Source organism: Homo sapiens, chromosome X, assembly GCF_000001405.40.
Source record: "Homo sapiens chromosome X, GRCh38.p14 Primary Assembly".
Classification (NCBI taxonomy): Eukaryota; Metazoa; Chordata; class Mammalia; order Primates; family Hominidae; genus Homo; species Homo sapiens.
Genome location: NC_000023.11, coordinates 39,824,832 through 39,843,162, shown reverse-complemented (window position 1 = coordinate 39,843,162; position 18,331 = coordinate 39,824,832). Strand labels below are relative to the sequence as shown.

Here is an 18,331-nt window from a genome sequence, read left to right as displayed (position 1 = left end):
TCAAGTGTCCTCATGCAAGAGTACTAGCTCTCCTACACCAGAGCATATAGACTTTCAGAAAAGGATGGAGAATAAAAAGAAGGAGGCCCGTATGAAGACAGCCAACTTAGAAAACAGCAGGGCCCAGTTCGAGTGAGAGCAAGGCCAATATTGTGTGTGTGTGTGTGTGTGTGTGTGTGTGTGTGTTTTATGGCCAAACTGTATCTAGGGATGCTAAATAAAAGATACCAATTTTATAATATATGTTGTAAACGAAGCCCTCAAACTGTTTAAAATGAGTATTTCGGTAGCCATATGCTCTGCATGGTCACATATATGTATATGTGATATGGGTGTGTGTGCGCACACACGTGCCGGTATGTGCATATATACCTCTGCATGTTCAGAGGTGAAGAGACATTCATACACTCTGTGCTATGCAAAGCTATATGAGTCATATGGGAATTTATTTAAAATATTGATATTCCCAGTTAAAACAACACTGGGCAATATTGTCATTGCATACACGAGCTGTTTTGAAGCTGGAGAGGGGAAACAGAGACCCTTTCTCCTCCTGAAGAGCTGCCTGGAATACCAGAATGGGCAACTCGCTGCAATAAGCCGAAATGCACAGAAATTACACTTGAACTAATGCCTAAAACCTGACGGAGACATACTTCATAGTTAATCTGGTTACTCGGGGTTTATTTCACAGTCAGAAGTTCTTATGATGGAAGGGGCTCCTGCTGGCTTCTCCCAGACACATGACTGAATTAATGAATGAATGAATTCAACTTACCAGAGCAGATTTAAACTGCTTACTGAAACAAAATCTGGTCATTTTTCTTCCTTCTGTTTTCTTTTAAAAGATAAATACAAGCCTCATATGGATGCTCTAAGAGTCATTAATCCTGGATAACCGACTTGTTTTATCTTTTGATTAAAAAAAGGCAGGCTGACCGACAGCAAGCCTACAACAGCAGACTCATTAACAAGCCGGGTTCAGATGTGGCCTGGCGAATAAACACCCAGTGTTCCTTTAACCAGGCAGCACCCCGACAGGAAGGCCTCGTGCTCCCGGGCTTAAAATGCAAGGAACAGGTAAACCAGCCTTCTCTTGCTGAAGCAGCAGAAAGCTCTCACGTTTTTTTCAGAATGAGCGCTTTCTGCGATACTACTTGGTTGTCAAATTTTAATGGGTGCTTGTTAACAGGGACTTTGAAATATTGTGATGTATTTGACCATCAGCAGCTTTCTGGCCTGCTGTTGGGGCTGAGCTTGGTGTATTTTAATAGGCACCTTAACTACCCGGGGATGAGGTCTGTAATACTCTCAGGCACTGGATGGGAAGGCCCAGCCAGTGGCGGGTGGGGGGCGGGGTGTGGAATGCGGGATCCCAGAGATGGAGAGAGGACTGCTGGGTTCCCTTGGCCACTGAAAGCTCTGAGAGTGTCTGGGGATGCAGGGTTTCCTTAACGTGCCTGGCTAAACCTGGGAGAGGCTAGGGGCTAGCTCTGCTGGTCCTCACAGCTGCCTGTGAGGATTTAAAACACACCTCTTGTAAAGGCGGGTGAGAGTTGGGGGTGGCTCTTTCTTGCCCTTCCTCCCCTCTTCTTCCTCTCCTTCCTCCCCTTTTCCTCTTCATCCTCCCCACTCTGTTCTCCCCCACTTCTCCTTCCTTTCTTTTTCTTCTCCCCTCCTCCCTTCCTGGTCCTCCTTCTTCCACTCTCCCTCTCTCTCCTCCCCCTCTCCCTTTCTTCCCTAATGCTCAGTCCAAGATGTAAGAGTATCTAAATATCTCATGTTGAGTGCTGCTAGTAAAATGCCACTTCTCTGAATGACATTCTCAGTCCGACTCCAGCTTGCTTGCCTGCTCCTCCGTCAGCCTTTCCCCAACCCACCACCACCACACACTTCCACCCCAAACACACACGAAGGCCTAGCTTGCCTGTCCGATTGTCAAGGAAAGACAGAAGATTGCTTCTTGGCACCTTAATCTGTGTCTGAGTAACAGAATTGGGACTTTCAGGGCTTCAGGGAAGGAGGGACTAACTACAAGGGGAGGGGGCAGCCCAGCCACGGAGAGGGCAGCCAACAGCTGGGCCAGGGCCTGATGCCCGCCCAACAGCCCCAGCTCCAACCACAGCACCCGACTCCGGGCCATTCCATGTGGGATCGTGACCTGGTAAGCAAGAGTAACTGTTTGCAAAGATCTCTACATCAAGTTCTTGGAGGGAGGCTGACTTTGCCTGGACCTGGCAGAGGGGATGTGTGTGTGTGTGAGTGCATGTGTGTGCACGCCAAGCTCTCTTGTGTCCCTGGGGAGAGGGAATGAATGCGTTGGTGGGGGAGGCAGGCGACGATCTGCCTAGAGCCGCCGGGCACCACCGCGCGTTCCGAAGAGGCAAGAGTGTTTTGCCAGTGGAAAGCTTATTTTGCCCAGCAGGACCAAAAATCCAATTAAAGAAAGAATGAGGGAAATGTGAAGTCTGGACTGAGCGCTGGCACCTCCCTGGCCGACTTCCTTGGCAGGGATCTCTGTCGAGGGGAAGGCTCAATGATGGCTCTGGGGATGGCCGAACAGAGAGGCTCCCACGCGCCATAGCCAAACACAGGGGCAGCTGCCAGTGACTGGGCCCTGCCTGTCCCTGCCGCCTGCTGCCATGGCCTCCTGCAAGGACCCGCTGGTGGTCCTTGGTGGGGTGGAGAGCTAGGCCGCCTGGCAGCAGGGAGAGCACCACCCCAGTCCCAGCTCTCGGGCCATTTGAACCACCCACCCGCCCGCGCCTATTGACATCGGTGAGAATTGCACAGGCAGATTAAAGACAGCATATGGCCCCCCAACTGGAAGCCAGCGGAGCTGAACCAACACTGGCAAATTGTGTTCAAACCGCATTGAGAATCCTGGCAGCTGCACCTGGCATGGGGAGCAGCCGGCGACCTGCATACAAAGGGAGTTTTATACACAGGGGGCTGCAGCAGCAGCGGTAGCAGCACCGCCACCCCCCACACCCCCAGCCTGCTCTCCCCTCCCCCTCCATCCAGATTTGGTCATTGACCCTGGGAAGTGGGGAGCTATTTGTCCAGGTTTCTGAACCTGGAGGAAGGAGCCCATGAAGGCAAGCTCCTATTTGGAGCTTTAAAGCCAGGACAGATTTATCAGGGTCCTTTACTGCCCCCTCACCCCAGCCCTGTGTCCATGTACCTCTCTCCCCAGTTTACCAATGGCCATATTTCCCTAGCCAGGGGGAGGCCGGGAGCCCACCCAGAACCTCAGAGGGCCTGCAGCCTTCTCAGCTTGACTGGTAAAGGTGGCAGTTCATCTCTTCCATCCTCTGGGGCAGAACCCAAGCGAGGGAATCTCTAAGTGTTCCTCAGGGCCAGGGTGACATGCAGACTTCTGGGTCACCCCTTGTTTTCCTCCCTCCAGCCCTGTCTAAGAAAAAATAAAAAGGCAGAGACATTTTTGTTACCTCATGAACGAAAGAGAAAACATTATGTAACTGGTACATAGCAATAAATAACCAAGGGTGATGGAGTTGGGGAGTGGGAAGGGATGAGACCAATTAACTTGCAATAAACCAGCTGAACCAGGTAGGGGCAGTGTTCCGAGAGAGTCAACACGCAAAACCTGCCCCGGGGTGAGGGTGGGGGGGTCTGGCACCTGCTTAATCAGGTGTGTGCTGCGGGTCTGCTTGGGACACTGGAGGATGCTGGGTGGTAAAATCTGGCAAACTCAAGGGGATGTAAAATCAGAGGGGGACGATTTGGGGGTTCTGCTTCATGGAATAGGGTTGAAAGAATCAGTCATTGGTTTCCTAAGGATGCTTCATCCTGGAGGACTGCTGCTTTTAGACCACAAGAAGTCTTTAAAATGCTCTCTTGTTTCTATTTCCCCCGCAGATGGCATTTGAGGGGGAGAGGATAAGCCAAGGGAAGAGGAAAATCAAAATGCTTTCAGCAGCACGGCTTCCGCATGCTGGAGAGGTGGTGTATGGGGTTGCGGCTTGGCCTGTTTTCTGAAACCTGCAAGGTAGCACCCTGAAGGTAGCTTGTAACCCTCCACTCTCACACCAAGGTAATACCTCCTTCCTGTCTGGCCACCTGTCACAGCCAGTGGAAGTAGGGTTTGGAGGGATGGTTGGGACATCCTTACACAATGTTAGGTGGAGACTTAGTGATGGCTTCGGGGGAAGGCAGAGGGAGTCTCTCTTGCGTCAGGGGGGTGGAAGCACCGCTGCCATGATCAAGCCCTTTGGATGAAAGGAGGGCTGTGAGATTTGCTGCCCAGATGTGGGTTTGCAAATGACCTTGTTGGTCTGTTACCCTGGCCTAGCTCATAGAAGCTTTCTTCTCCTGTGGCTTGGGAGAGAGCCACCGTAAAAGACAAGCTGTGGCTAGTAAGCATCTTCTATGTGCTCTGGACTGTCTCATGCAAGAGCTAGGGCATAGGATCCTCATGATGGCCCTTCAAGAGGGGTTAATCTTGTCGTTGTTGCACTTCTATGAGGAAACAGACCATGTGAGGCTAAGTAACTTGCTCAAGGTCACACAGGGGTGATTGATGGGGTCACCCAGACTGTCTGACTCTTGTGTGGGTATGGCTGCCCTCCTTGTCAGCCGGCGGGGTATAGAGGCTGGCCCTCCATTCTTGATTTGCTCAGTAATGGGGGCAGGACAACTCCACCTCCTTCTTCCCAAAGGAAAGTTGAGCTCATTTTGGAAAGAAAGCAAACAGCCGTTCTCCTCTGGGGCTCTATCCGGGGACAGGGCAGAAAGGAAATCCAGTACACTGCGGAAGGAGTCATTTTTTGGCCTGGTTCTCACCACCCATCTCTAGTTCAAACCCTGCTTTTAGCATATCTGTGTTGATGGGGCAGGGCCTGGGAATCACGATTTGCCTTTAAGAAGTGGATGCACTTGGAGAGGCTGGCGCTTCCACCAACCAGGAAGAGCTGGGGGCACCCTGCTTGCTCTCCGAAACTTCACAGAAAGCCCCAAGAGCTGGGGATGTGGGTTCTGTTCTGGATCTCCAAGAGACGACGTCATGCTAGAATGTTCCCTTCATTTTTGAAAACTGCACTCCTGCCTGGGGCCATCTCGTGTCTTCAATGGCTAAAGTAGATGCTGATTTGGGCAACCAGCTTTCTTTTCTGTTTTGAAAATTAATGCACCTGTGTAGTCACCCAGGCTTGATAGTTGCAACAATAACTCATGGACAAGTTGTGTGACTGGTGGTAGTGACTCCATTTGCTCACACCTCCTTGGATTCAGTCCCTGGTGTAGTTCCCTCCCACACTGACTGTGGGTTTGGCCAGGTGACTTGCTTTGGCCAATGGGACACCATCAACCATGATTAGCAGAGGTTTGAAAAGTGCTTGTGCATTGAGATTTGCCCTCTCACGCTGTTCTTGGGACCCTTACAACTGCCAACATGTGAATGTGCCTGGGTTAGGCAGGTGGAGGTATGTGGCCCAGTCACCACTGCCACCCAGCTGACAACCAGCACCAACCACCAGACACACTGCATGAGGCCATCCTAGACCATTCGGTTCCCAGGTGACCTGCCAGCTGGTCACAGGTGAGTCCAGCAGAAGAACTGCCCAACCCAGCCCAGCCCAAATTGCAGATCTGCAGAATCATGGGCTGATAAATGATTGCTCTTTTAAGCCACTAAGTTTTGGGGTGTTTTTTTATTGTGATAAAATATGCATAACATAGCATTTACCATTTTAACCATTTTTAAACGTACAGTTGAGTGGCATTCAGTACATTCACATTGTGCTACCATCACCACCAGCCATCTGCAGAAGTTTTTCATCATTTGCCGGGGTTCTTTATATATCTAAGCTCACTCACTGATTCACAAGCTGCGGGGGCTGCCTGCACCTCCCTGACTGTCTTGCAGCTGATGAGCTTGTCTCTGAGTGGAGGCTCAGGCTCAGGCACCGAGCTCTGGAGTGAGGCCCAGTTCCAAACTGAAAGAGAACAATGTCCACGGGTCTCGGCTGTAGCCACAGTTTAACACAACCCTGGCTTCCCTCAGGCATGCTCACAAACGATCCTGTTCCTGTGGGTGCAGGGAAGACAGACAAGCAGGGTCTCCACAAGGGAGGCTGCAGACCACAGGCAGACCCGGTGACAGGGGACATGCTGGGACTTGCTGTTTAAAGAGCCACCACCAGGAACTTGGCACCTGACCTTGTGCTCAGGGGTGAGCTGTGACAGCTGCCACACCAGCCCTGCTGTCCTTGCCACTTCTAGCTGTGTGACTTGGGGTGAGTCACTTAAGCTTTCTGAGTCTGTTTTTTTCCCCCATCTGCTAACTGAATGTAATCGTAGTGCCATGTTTTAGGGCAAGGATTAGAGGAGCCAGTGTTGGACACACTAACAGTTGCTTCATTAATTAATATATGGGGCTGGCCAGGATCCCTATTCCCCCTGGCCCCAGACCCCTACCATCTTTCCTCATCCTTACTGGGAAGGGGCCTTTAGAAAGAAAAGAGACAAGGTCGGGCACGGTGGCTCATGCCTGTAATCCCAGCACTTTGGGAGATCACCTGAGGTCAGCAGTTGGAGACCAACCTGGCCAACATGGTGAAACCCTGTCTCTACTAAAAATACAAAAATTAGCTGGTCATGGTGGCACTCGCCTGTAATCCCAGCTACTGGGGAGGCTGAGGCAGGAGAATTGCTTGAACCCAGGAGGTGGAGGTTGCAGTGAGCCAAGATTGTGCCACTGCATTCCAGCCTAGGGGACAGAGCAAGACTCTGTAAAAAAAAAAAAAAAAAAAAAAGAAAAGAAAAGAGAAAGACTTTGTTAGCATCAGAAATTATGCTTTGAGAGGGATCTTCAGTATTAGCTGGAGAAACACTCATTTGTCTTTTAGATACTCACTTCTTGATATTCATGTTAGGACCCTGGGCTAGGCTGACAGTGTATATAAATAAATACGGGGGCTCTGGGAGAGGAGGGAGAGAGCAAGGGCATTTGGGGATGCTGTGGCAGACTGTTGTGTTTATTTTCTTCATCTTCTTATGTAATAGAACCCCTGATTTTTAGTTGGGCATACACTCATCTGGAATAAAGACAATGTTTCCCAGCTTCTCTTATTGCTAGGTATGGCTACATGACTAAATACTAGCCAATTTTATTTCATGTCCTGAGGCATCCTCCAGGAACTTCCTTAAGAGAGAGCTGTGTCACACACTTTGCCCTTTTCCTTCATCCCTCCCAATATCCTACCATCTGGAATGCAGATGTAATGGCTGAAGCTCCAGACACCATTTTGGATAATGAGGACAAGGTCACTCCTAGCTGTGGCAGAACAATGAGCTGGATGGAACCAGAATTTCTGTCCCAGTTACTTTCGGTGTGTAACAAACTACTGCAGAGTTGGTGGCTTAAAACAACCATTTTAGGGCTGGGCGTGATAGCTCACGCCTGTAATCCCAGCACTTTGGGAAGCTAAGGTGGGCAGATCACTTAAGGCCAGTTTGAGACCAGCTTGGTTAACATGGTGAAACCCCATCTGTACCAAAAATACAAAAATTAGCCAGGCATGGTGGCGCACACCTGTAGTCTCAGCTACTCGGGAGGCTGAGGCACAAGAATCACTTCAACATGGGAGGCGGAGGTTGCAGTGAGCCGAGATCATGCTACTGCAATCCAGCCTGGGGGAACAGAGTGAGCCTCTGTCTCAAAAATCCCAAACAACCATTTTATTGTGCTCATAGATTCTGTGGGAAAGGACTCTGGGCAGGGCTTGGCTGGGCAATGCTTTTGTTCCTAGTGGTGTTGACTGGCGTCACTCAGTGGTACTCAGCTGACTGAATGGCTGGTCTGGAAGATCCAACACAGCTTCACTTACACATCTGGAGCCTGGAATAAGGATGGCTCAAAGATTAGGACTGTCAACCAGGGCACCTATACATGGCCTCTCCATGTGGCTTGATGTCATCACAGCATAGTAACCTCAGGGTAGTTGGATCTCTTACATGGTGGCTCTGAGCCCCAAGCAAGAATATTCCAGTGAACAAGGTGGAGAACATATGACCTTTTATGATCCACCCAAAAATCTTGCAGTATCACTCTACCAAATTCTATTGGCCGAAACAGTCACAAGCTGGCTTAGATTCAACCTAGGAGGGGAATCAGACGCCCCTTCTCCACTGGTGGGCTATCAAGCTCATGATACAGAAGAGCGTGAGGGACAGGAGATACTGTTGTAGCCAGTTCTGGAAAATTCTACCTGCCATAGTCCCTGAGGGTTCATGGAGCACAGCCACAGCTGCCACACCAGCCCCAGACCACCTAGCTTGGGTATTTGGGTGAGAAATACACTTTTGACTCATTTAAGCCACTTTCATTTCTGGTCTTTGTTACTCAGAGTTAAACCCTGTGCTAACTCACAGAGATCTGCTTTGTATAGACTTTAAAGGACTTGATGAGAAAGGTGAAGGACTATTTCACCAGCCTCTGGACTTAGTGTGAGTTAGTGTTTGCCTAAAATAACTCTCCTATTCTAATGATAATGGACAGTACTAATAAGTCCCCACACCCACGGCCCTGCCGAGCCCTTCAAGACCTTGAGGCCAAAATTAAGATGACACCTGTGTATACATTATCTGTATCAATGTATGTGTGTCAGAAAACTATAGGGACATTTCAGGGGTGATAGACAAGAGGGACCTCACTTTCCTTTTTTCTTTTTTTGAGACAGGGTCTTGCTCTGTCACCTAGGCTGGCACGATCATGGCTCTCTGCAACCTCGACTTCCTGGGCTGAATTGATCCTCCCACCTCAGCCTCCTAAGTAGCTGGGACTACAGGCATGTACCACCTCACCTAGTTAATTTTTGTATTTTTTTGTAGAGATGGGGTTTCGCCATGTTGCCCAGGCTAGTCTTGAACTACTGGGCTCAAGCGATCTGCCTGCTTCTGCCTCCCAAAGTGCTGGGATTACAGGTGTGAGCCACTGCACCTGGCCAGAGGACCTTGCCTTCTAATTTAAGCTCAGGACATCATGTTTGCAGCTCTTGGCTGAGAAAGCTTTGCTCTGAGACTCTTGTGATGAACCTAGGGGTTTGCAGATAAGGGCCCAGGGCTTGCCAATGGTGGCTGTAATTGAGGGAGCTCATGGCACTGGCAGGAGATTGAAAAAATGTTCAGCTTATTATTTGCCTGAGGGCTCAAATTCCAGTGTGAGAGAGAGTGGGGCCCCCCAGGTGGTCAATCCTAGGTACCTGCCGAAGGTGTCATGGGGGCCTCTGAGGCAGGTTAGTGTGGTGGCAGCTGTGGTAGTGAACAGGAATGTTCCAGAGTCTTTGCCGGCTAGGGATTAAGATAAGACACGACTACCAGGTTGCCACAAGTAAGGAATGTTCCCCTTGGCCTGGACTTGGCTCGGGAGCCCAGACCCTACTGGTAGATGAGGTTCCCAGGGATCAGGAGAAATCAAAGGAGGCTCACCTTGAAGGTTCTGGAGCCGACCGCTGAGTTCAAATCCTCACTTGGCTTTTCCTGGCTGTGTGACCTTGGTCAAGTGATTTTACTGTGTTCTAGTTTTCTCATCTGTCAAGTGGGCCCTGCCTCCTAGAGCTGTTGAGTGAATTGAATGAAACCATTGATGTTTGAATACTTAGCCTGGTGCCTTTGCTGTAGCAGCCAGAGAGCCAGGCAGAGGTGGGGGCAAGTCCATGGGGAGAAGCCTGAGTCGGCCCCTTGGACCTGCTGTCGAGCTGAGCCCTGTTCTCATGACACAGCAGAAGCATAAGAGGTTGGGCTAGGCCAACCTCACAAGCACGTTGCAAACCTCTGCTTGCCACCCATCTACTAACACCTCATTGATCAAAGCAAGTTACAGGTCCAGGCCCAAAGTTAAGGGGTGGAGAAATGTATAAGAAACTGCAAGATCAATGCCAAGGAGTATGGTGAATAATTCAAATACAGGAGGGGACAGGAATCAGGGAACAATGGTCCACATACCACTCTGTCCAACAGACTGTAAACCGTTCATGAAAACCACCAAGATCTACAAGAACCAATCTCTAAGTCCCTAAGTTCCAAAGTGTGTGTATGTGGTGGTTGGGCGAAGGGCAGGGTGAGTGGGGAAAATGAGGGCCCACTGTCCCTCCCCAACCCCCACAAGCCTCTATCCCAACTCAAGTACCTTATAATTTGCTGCCTTGGCCTCAATAAATATTTGTTGACCAACTGATAAATACAGACTGACATTCACAGGGACAAAGTGAATCCCATTGGGGCTTGGACTGAATGTCTGTGAGTCTGTGGATAATCTCCTAATGTAAAGGCCCCATCTCCAGGTTCTATTGCTAGAATTGAGTTTCTGGCACTACTTTTTGCTTCAACAGCCTCTAACGGGCCCATCTGGTGGCTAGCATCTGAGGCGTACTGTATTCCCTCCATTCCTTTCCACCCAGGTAGGATGTCTGGGTCTGGCACAAGGCTCCCTCCCACCATAAGCTCCTGAGCTGCCTGCACTGTTTCTGGGCTTCCATGTGTCGAGCAGCCAATGGGTAGGTGTGTTTTCAGAGGCTGTTATCTGTGTCAAGACACCAGGTGCCATGGGTGACGTGGGTGACGGCAAGATGTGTGTAAGTCACGGTCCGTGCCAAGAGCAGTGGATGATTTAGTTAGGGATAAGACAACGTATCCACCAGATGCTGGAGCAGTGAAACCAGGGCGGTACATGGTTGGGAGGGAGGGAAGGATGGCTCTGTATTTGGGAAACAGCCGCCTCCCAGCCGTCATTTCGGACCTTCGAAGTCTGGTCAAATACTGATGAAAAGCTGCCAAGGATGAATCAGGGGACTTACCCCTCTGCTTTCCCAGGAGGAGAGCCAGGAAGCAGACCAGCAGGAGTGAGAACAAGGCCGGTCTGAGGATCAAAGGGAAGGCTTCAAACCTTAAATCCAGTATGTGAAGTTTTGCTGGCCAGGGGTCCCATTTGCTTTTATTCTTGTTTTGATTTTGTTTTTATTTATTTATTTACTTTTTTTTGAGACAGGATTTTGCTCTCTCCCCCAGGAGGTGGAGCGTTGTGGCATGATCATGGCTCACTGCAGCCTCGACCTCCCAGACTCAAGCGATTCTCCTGCCTCAGCCTCCTGAGTAGCTGAAACTACCGGAGCGCACCATCACGCCCAGCTAATTTTTGTATTTTTAGTAGAGACGGGGTTTCACCATGTTACCCAGGCTGGTCTCAAACTCCTGACCTCAGGTGATCCACCCTCCTTGGCCTCCCAAAGTGCTAGGATTACAGGTGTGAACCATTGTGCCCTGCCTGTAGTAGGTATTATAAGTAATCTAGAGATGATTTAAAGTGTACAGGAGAATGTGCATAGGTTATATGCAAATACTATACTATTTTATATGAGAGACTTGAGCATCCCAGATTTTGTTATCCAAGGGGTGGGGGCGGGTGGGGGGGTCCTGGAACCAATCCTTCCATGGGTACCGAGGGATGACTGTACGTAGCTTATGGGGATTTTGTGCTGACTGAATGAGATGATTCCTGCTAGTGACAGCACATAGTAAGTGCTCAATAAATACTAGCTCTTGGCCAAGCACGGTGGCTCATGCCTGTAATCCCAGCACTTTGGGAGGCCAAGGTGGGCAGATCACTTGAGGTCAGGAGTTTGAGACAAGTCTGGCCAACATGATGAAACCCTATCTCTACTAAAAATACAAAAAGTAGCTGGGCATGGTGGCTCATGTCTGTAGTCCCAGCACTTTGGGAGGCCGAGGTGGGTGGATAACTTGAGGTCAGGAGTTGAAGACCAGCCTGGCCAACATGGTGAAACCCTGTCTCTACTAAAAACACAAAAAATCAGCCGGGCGTGGTAGCATGTGCCTATAGTCCCAGCTACTCAGTAGGCTGAGGCAAGAGAATCGCTTGAGCCTGGGGGACGGAGGTTGCAGTGAGCTGAGATAGTGCCACAGCACTCCAGCCTGGACAACAGAGCGATACTCCGTCCCAAGAAGAAAAAAGAAAAAAAAAGAAAGAAAGAAATACTAGCTCTTATTTTCATATTACCATATATCACAATTTAGACCAAACCCTTTAAAAATTTGGAAGCTGGCTTGTTTTCTCACTAATGTTCTACCATGAGCATTTTCCTGTATCATTAAATGCTCTTATAGAGCCTCGCTTTAAATGGCTTCAGAATTTTGCACCCCATAGATTCATCATAATTTATTTAGCAATGTTCTTATTGCTGGACATTGATTCTGTCCTCAAATTTCTGTTAATATAAATAATATTCCAATGAACATCTTTGTCAGGGATTCCCCTAACCTTTTTCTCTTGTTATGAAAGTATAAGGTAGTCATTATAGAAAAAAAATGGAAAAATACAGAAGAATATAAAGAAGAACATTAAAATGATCAGAAAGAGAGAGAGGAGAGACTCTCTCACCAGGAAGAGGGTGTTCTAGGCTGGTCTGCAGTCTGTCTTAGAGGCTCTACTCTGCCTGGCAGCGTAAACACAGCTAGAGTTAAATAACAACCCGGGACAATATGAGGGACATCACAGAGCTCCAAGTGATTAATTGCCAACTAAGCACTACAAGTTCCCTAACCAGCAGTGTTTGCTCCAAGTGACCAGCTGGGACATGGAGAGTCTTTAGGGTTTTTAAAGAACACTTTGTTCTGCTGTGTGACAGGTTTTCTGGAGTCTTTACCAGCCAGAAAGCTTTCTTTCCTAGGGGCTTTTTGGACAAGGGGGAGCTCTAAACATCCTCTATCAGGAGGCCTCTCTCCCTCACCCCCGCTCCTCTGGCCCTAGTCAATTTGGGGGCTGCCTTAAAGGTTAGAGCTTGCTCTGGCCTCAGCCCATATCCCCAAGTCTCCTCTGAAAGTCCTCAATATTCCGTACTGCTCAAATGATTCCCCTCACTATACTGAAGGAGGCTCTACAGCAAGCCTAAGAGAGGTGTACCCAAACCAGCATGGGTTCAGTGGGAAGGGATGGCTTGGAAGAAAGGACTTTGGACCTGTTGGAAGCTCCTGGCAGACTGTCTGCAAAACTGGTTGCCAGCAATTTCTCCCATCCCTGTGTATGCATGCCACTCTCCTCATCAAAAAGAAGCAAGAATCTGTTTCCCCTCCCCTTGAGCCCAGGCTGGCCTTGTGACTTGGTCTGGCCAAGAGAATGCAATGGAAGTGTTCCCATGTGACTTCTGAGTCTAGGACTTAAGAGACCTGGCAGCATCTGTCTTTGCTTTCTCGAATAGAACTGCCATGTAAAAAGCCTGGGCTACGCTACTGAAGAGAGAGGCCGAGGGGAAGAGAACACGAGCAACTCAGTCAATAGGTAACACCAACTGCCAAAAATGTGAATGAGGCCATCTGGGATGCCCCATACTCTGTCAAACTCCTAGCTGACTGCAGTTGCATGGCTCCAGCTGCCACGTGGAACAGAAGAACCATCCAGCTGAGCCAAACTGACCCTGTAGAATTGTGAGAAAAAGAATCAATTGTTAAGCTGAGTGTGGTGGCTCATGCCTGTAGTCCCATCTACTTGGGAGGCTGAGGTGGGAGGACCACTTGAGCACAGGAATTGGAGGCTGCAGTGAGCTATAATCACACTGTTGTTTTAAACCATTAAGTTTTGGTGGTACTTCTTAGGCAGGAGTAGAAAAGCAAAACACAGTTATTTCAAATATTTGAAGGGTCATTGGTGGAAGAGAAATGAGCCTTGTTTTTGCAGGCCCCAGGGTGAATAGCAAGAGAGCTGCACCTTTTGGCTCAGTACAGGTAGGAACTCTAAGACATTCAGATCCATCTAAGAAGGGGACCATGTATGACTTTGTAACACTCCCTGCAGAGCATGAAGAAAAAGATGGTGGCTGCTTGTTGGTGTCTGGAGGGGAACCCAGGGGACCAAATACTTGACATACAGTCCTGCCTTGAGCTTCTTTGGTTCTTTGTCATCTTCCACATTCATTACATCCACTTCCCCCAAAGGGAACTCTTCACTTTAACCACAAGACCCTGCTGGAAGACATTCCTCCTCTTGTTCCATCTCTGTGGGCTTTTGTCAGCCTAGGCATTTTTCAAAATCACATGCCACATCCTTCAGAAAGCTTTTGGGGGTGGGAATATCAGAGGAGGGCTAGGAAAAAAAAATTTTTCTTGTGACCTTGGCTTCTTTGGAACATATGACCCTTACATAGTCTGCAGTACCTAGATTGCAAGCACTCTGAAGAGAGAGACTATTTTATTCATTTCTGTATGGCCCAGTGCCCAGCACAGGGCTGATGGTCCAGGCATGATCTGGGTTTGGGCTGAGTCAGGCGAATCACACACCTGCAGGCTGGATCTTACCTCCCTTGCTGTACCAGGCAGGGCTCAGCAGCTCCCAAGGGGATCAATCCATCCCTGTATGTGCTTGGAACAGGGAGGTGAGGATAGGGCAACTCCATGAGGGACCTCCTGAACTCAGCAGGCTGTGGCTGGCTTGTCATGCCTGTTCTTTCCTTCTTTCTTTTCTTTTTTTTTCTTTTCTTTCTTTTTTTTTGAGATGGAGTTTCGCTCTATCACCCAGGCCAGAGTGCAGTTGCGCAATCTCGGATCACTGCAACCTCTGCCTCCCTGGTTCAAGTGATTCTTGTGTCTCAGCCTCCCAAGTAGCTGGGATTACAGGCACCCACCACCACGCCCAGCTAATTTTTGTATTTTTAGTAGAGACCAGGTTTCACCATGTTGGCCAGGCTGGTCTCGAACTCCTGACCTCAAGTGATCTGCTTGCCTCGGCCTCCCAAAGTGCTGGGATTACAGGCGTGAGCCACCGCACCCGGCCTGCCGTGCCTGTTCTTGATGTCCGTGGACCCCAGGAGTGTTCGGGGGGCCTCTGTCAAGCTTGCTGTGGAGCTCAGAGAATCTTCTTTGGAGAAGCAAGATGTGTGTGCATACACACACACACACACCACACACTCAGCACTCAAGCGCGGAGACTGCCTCAGGGGAGACAGTGTCTGCAGGAACCAGACTCCACAGCCTCCCCAGGGACTCGTCATCGCGTCTCTCATCAGGCGTGTCACTTGTCAGGCGCGGCTCTAGCTCAGCGCAACTCACCCCCTCACTCACGCTGCAGGAAGGGCCTCTGAGGGGAGTGGGCTCTGCGGAATTTCCAGGCAGGCGTTGCTTGTCTTGTCTTTGGCAATTTCTTGGCCTGGCCCCAGAAACCCTAATGAGCCATGGGTATGAAAAACGGCCACCAAGGTGGTTATCGGAGGTGCCCATGAAGGGATTTGGGTGTCATTCAGTGTAAGTTTCGGCAATTCCTGGAGAGTAGCACGTTTGAGCCGGACTTGCTCTTCCCTTTTTGTACAAAGGAAAGGAAGAAAAAAGAAAAAGGATCTAGGGTCAGTCAGGCAGAGGTGGGGAGGGGGCAGGTGTGGGGAAGGTTGCCTGGGGGCAAGCAGCCAGGCAATGGCCTTTAGCTTCCAGGGGCCTCAGTCCTGCTCCAAGGAGTCTCTATAGAAGGGGAGCCCCTATAACCACTTCTGGTTTGTGAACCTCTCATCCTAACTCAATAGGAACCTTGTCTTTCTTCCCCGAGCGATTCTACTCCTCCAGCTCCCACGCTGCAATCCCTGCCACAGCTCAGAGCTGCCGAGGCTGTGGCCCAGTCTTTACAGTCAGTCTCTCTGGGTATCTCTGTCTCTATTGTCTCTGGGGGAAAGGCCTGGATCTAAGCACGCACACACTTCTCAATTAGAAATGTAGTGAGCATCTGCCAGATGTAAGCACTGAGTTCTAGAATGTCTCTAGAAAGAGACAGAGCAAATGCATGAACACACGCTGGGCCAGACTGTGCAGCAACACGCTGAGCTGTGATGTGGCATCTGGCGTGACATGTTCTTCCCAGGCCCCCAACCCAGCCAGTCGAAGCCCCTAACCCCTGCCCCATCCTTTTGATTCCTCTGCTCCCTGGCCTGGCCCTGTGTACTCAGGAGTCTCTGGCCATGCATGAGGAGCCATTCCTCAGTCAGCCACAGGGTTAGACCCAGTGAGGGGTGTTTTGGGGCCGGCTCCAGCGCACAAGAGCCCAGCCAACTGTGCACAGCTCTTCCTACCTCTGTGTTCAGTGATGACAAGTCTGAAGCTTGGAATTGGCTAGAGTAGGAGGGTTTGCTCTATGGAAATTGGCAAAAACTAGAAATTAGGACTTTCCCCCAGAGAGCCAGTTAAACATTTACCAGCATTATCACTGGTTAGATCCCACAGCGCGCAGCTGAGGGGGCACTGCCAATGACCGCATCCTCTCCCCAAGGGGGCTGAGACTGCACCTTCGTCGTGAACAGGTGCAGGTACAGGCACAGGTCAAGCAGACCTCGAGTGGGCCCCTCTGCTCACCACCAAAAACCTTCTCCAGAGGCAGTCTGGTAGGACTGTTTACCTAAGCAGTCCTCAGGTATTCCAACCCCCTGGCTGCAAACATTAGTTTTCAGGCTTTTGAGCTGAGACCACAAATCACTTTGCAAGCAGAGAAAAAGTCTACTTTTTGCCTTGGGCATCTTGGACAGGAAGTCAGGCTGTGGCAAAGAAGAGCATCAAACATCAGGGGCACCAGATCATCACGGGAATCAGATGATCACCATAGCTGTGGAAATGAAGTTTCCTGGTGAATCCACGTCATTTGCCTAAGATCACTCAGGTGCTGACCAAAGCCCCCATTTTGGAATCCTAATCTGTTTACCCTCAATCCAATGCTTGCCTGGTCACAGTGTGGCAGGCAGGTTCCTCGGCACAGGTAAATCCTGGCACCTGTGTGTGCCTACATGTCCCAAAGCCACAGAGATGGAAAAAGTAAGGCCTGGAGGACTCTTGAGATGACGTGCTCCAGTCCACCTCATTTGCTTGGCCACTGTCTCCAGGACAACTTTGTTCCAACCAGTCCCTAAAGGGTCACAGTGCAGGAGTTGAGCAGCTGAGTTTTGGAGTCAGGCATGCCTAGGCCTGATTTTGAATTCCATCAAGCCCTGATGGTATGACCTTGTGCAAGTAATTTGTCCTCTCTGAGCCCCTGTTCTCATCTGTCAAGTGAAGATAATAATGGTGCCTACCTTATGGGACTGCTGGGAGGGTTAGTGAGACAATGTATGGCAAGTATTTAACAGGGGACTCAGTAAAGGGAAAGTGTGTGTGTCAGTAATTCTGTACTGTGTCAGTTGGGTCCTCCAGGAAGCAAATGCTAAGATGGAATTAGACATGCAAGAGGTTTACTGGGGGAAATGCTTATGGAAGATGAAGTGAGGAGGGAGCAGGAGGAGGTGGGGAGGGCCTTCAGGCCAGGAAGCAGGTCTGACTCCTATGAAGGGAGAGGGGAAGGAAGGAGGGGCTGGTAGGGAAAGCCTCACCCCTCAGTGCAGCTCAGAGAGTCTCAGCCAGGTCCATGGGGAAGTTCTAGCGTAAAGATCACCTAGAGAAGTGATCTAGCCTGGATTGGCCATACTCAGTCACTGGAAGTGCATGGCCTTGCCCTAAAAGGCAGAGCCTGAAGGCACCCACGGCTGGAGGTTGTCAACTAATTGCACTTGTAGAAAGTTCTGTGTGCAAGAGAGATCTGAGCAATGGATCTCCAAGATGACCGTGGTCCCTTCCAAGCTTCCTTGCAGAGTTCCCTTCTCATGCAAATGGGTAAACAAAAAGCCTCAAAGCTGAACAGGTTCAACTTCAACAGGTTGAAGATAAAATGCACGGCCCCCAAGGCAAGCCCCTTTCCTCTGGGCCTCACTCTGCCCCCAGCCTGGTTCCTCGCAGCCCTCCTTCTCTCACCCCTTCCGCCCAGTCTGCATTTCTTCCTGCTCATTGCCACTGCATGTCTGGGTTTTTGCTCATGATATCTTTCTCCCCGGAATAATCTCCTGACTTGCTCACCTGGCAAACTCATTTTGTCTTTTCAGATCCCCTGCAGATGTCACCTTCTTTGTGAGGCCTTTACCAACCTCGAACTCCCCTGTGTGCTCCCACCCACCCACTGGGTCCTCCACTGAAGCATCTGTCACTTACTTGTTTAGCTACAGTTTCCCCCTTAGGGCATTTCTTCAACAAATATTTACTGACCACCCATCATGTGCCTGGCACAAGCACAGGGATGTGATGATGGGCATGGGAGCTTGGCTTCTACCCTCACGGGACAACCAGTCTGCAGGGAAGCCTGGTAATTAAATAGGCAATGGCAAGAAACTGACATGTACAGTCCCAGAGATTGTTTAGGGCACCACAGGGACACATGGCAAAGACAACCAATCTCTTCTGGGATGGGGGTGTCCGGTAGGGCTTCCTGGAAAAAGTAACTTTTTACCTTGAAGCTTCTAAGGTG

At 49.8% G+C, this 18,331-nt stretch overlaps 1 non-coding gene across 1 annotated transcript, besides 3 other annotated features; it reads right to left on the bottom strand.

Moving 5' to 3' along the window:
• Positions 3,165-3,353: a silencer, noted in NCBI's record as "fragment chrX:39699064-39699252 (GRCh37/hg19 assembly coordinates)". NCBI's record gives its function as "represses an EF-1alpha promoter that drives an FKBP-Casp9 reporter gene in an ReSE screen in phorbol 12-myristate 13-acetate-treated (for megakaryocytic differentiation) K562 erythroleukemia cells {active_cell/tissue: K562(+PMA)}" and the evidence as "EXISTENCE:reporter gene assay evidence [ECO:0000049][PMID:32094911]".
• Positions 5,550-5,602, bottom strand: MIR1587 (microRNA 1587). The gene has a single exon (NR_039763.1). It is a non-coding gene; the product is annotated as a microRNA 1587 (primary transcript).
• Positions 14,551-15,050: an enhancer, noted in NCBI's record as "H3K4me1 hESC enhancer chrX:39687367-39687866 (GRCh37/hg19 assembly coordinates)". NCBI's record gives its function as "activates a minimal SCP1, AML or CMV promoter by ChIP-STARR-seq in naive H9 embryonic stem cells {active_cell/tissue: H9 hESC(naive)}" and the evidence as "EXISTENCE:reporter gene assay evidence [ECO:0000049][PMID:30033119]".
• Positions 15,051-15,552: an enhancer, noted in NCBI's record as "H3K4me1 hESC enhancer chrX:39686865-39687366 (GRCh37/hg19 assembly coordinates)". NCBI's record gives its function as "activates a minimal SCP1, AML or CMV promoter by ChIP-STARR-seq in naive H9 embryonic stem cells {active_cell/tissue: H9 hESC(naive)}" and the evidence as "EXISTENCE:reporter gene assay evidence [ECO:0000049][PMID:30033119]".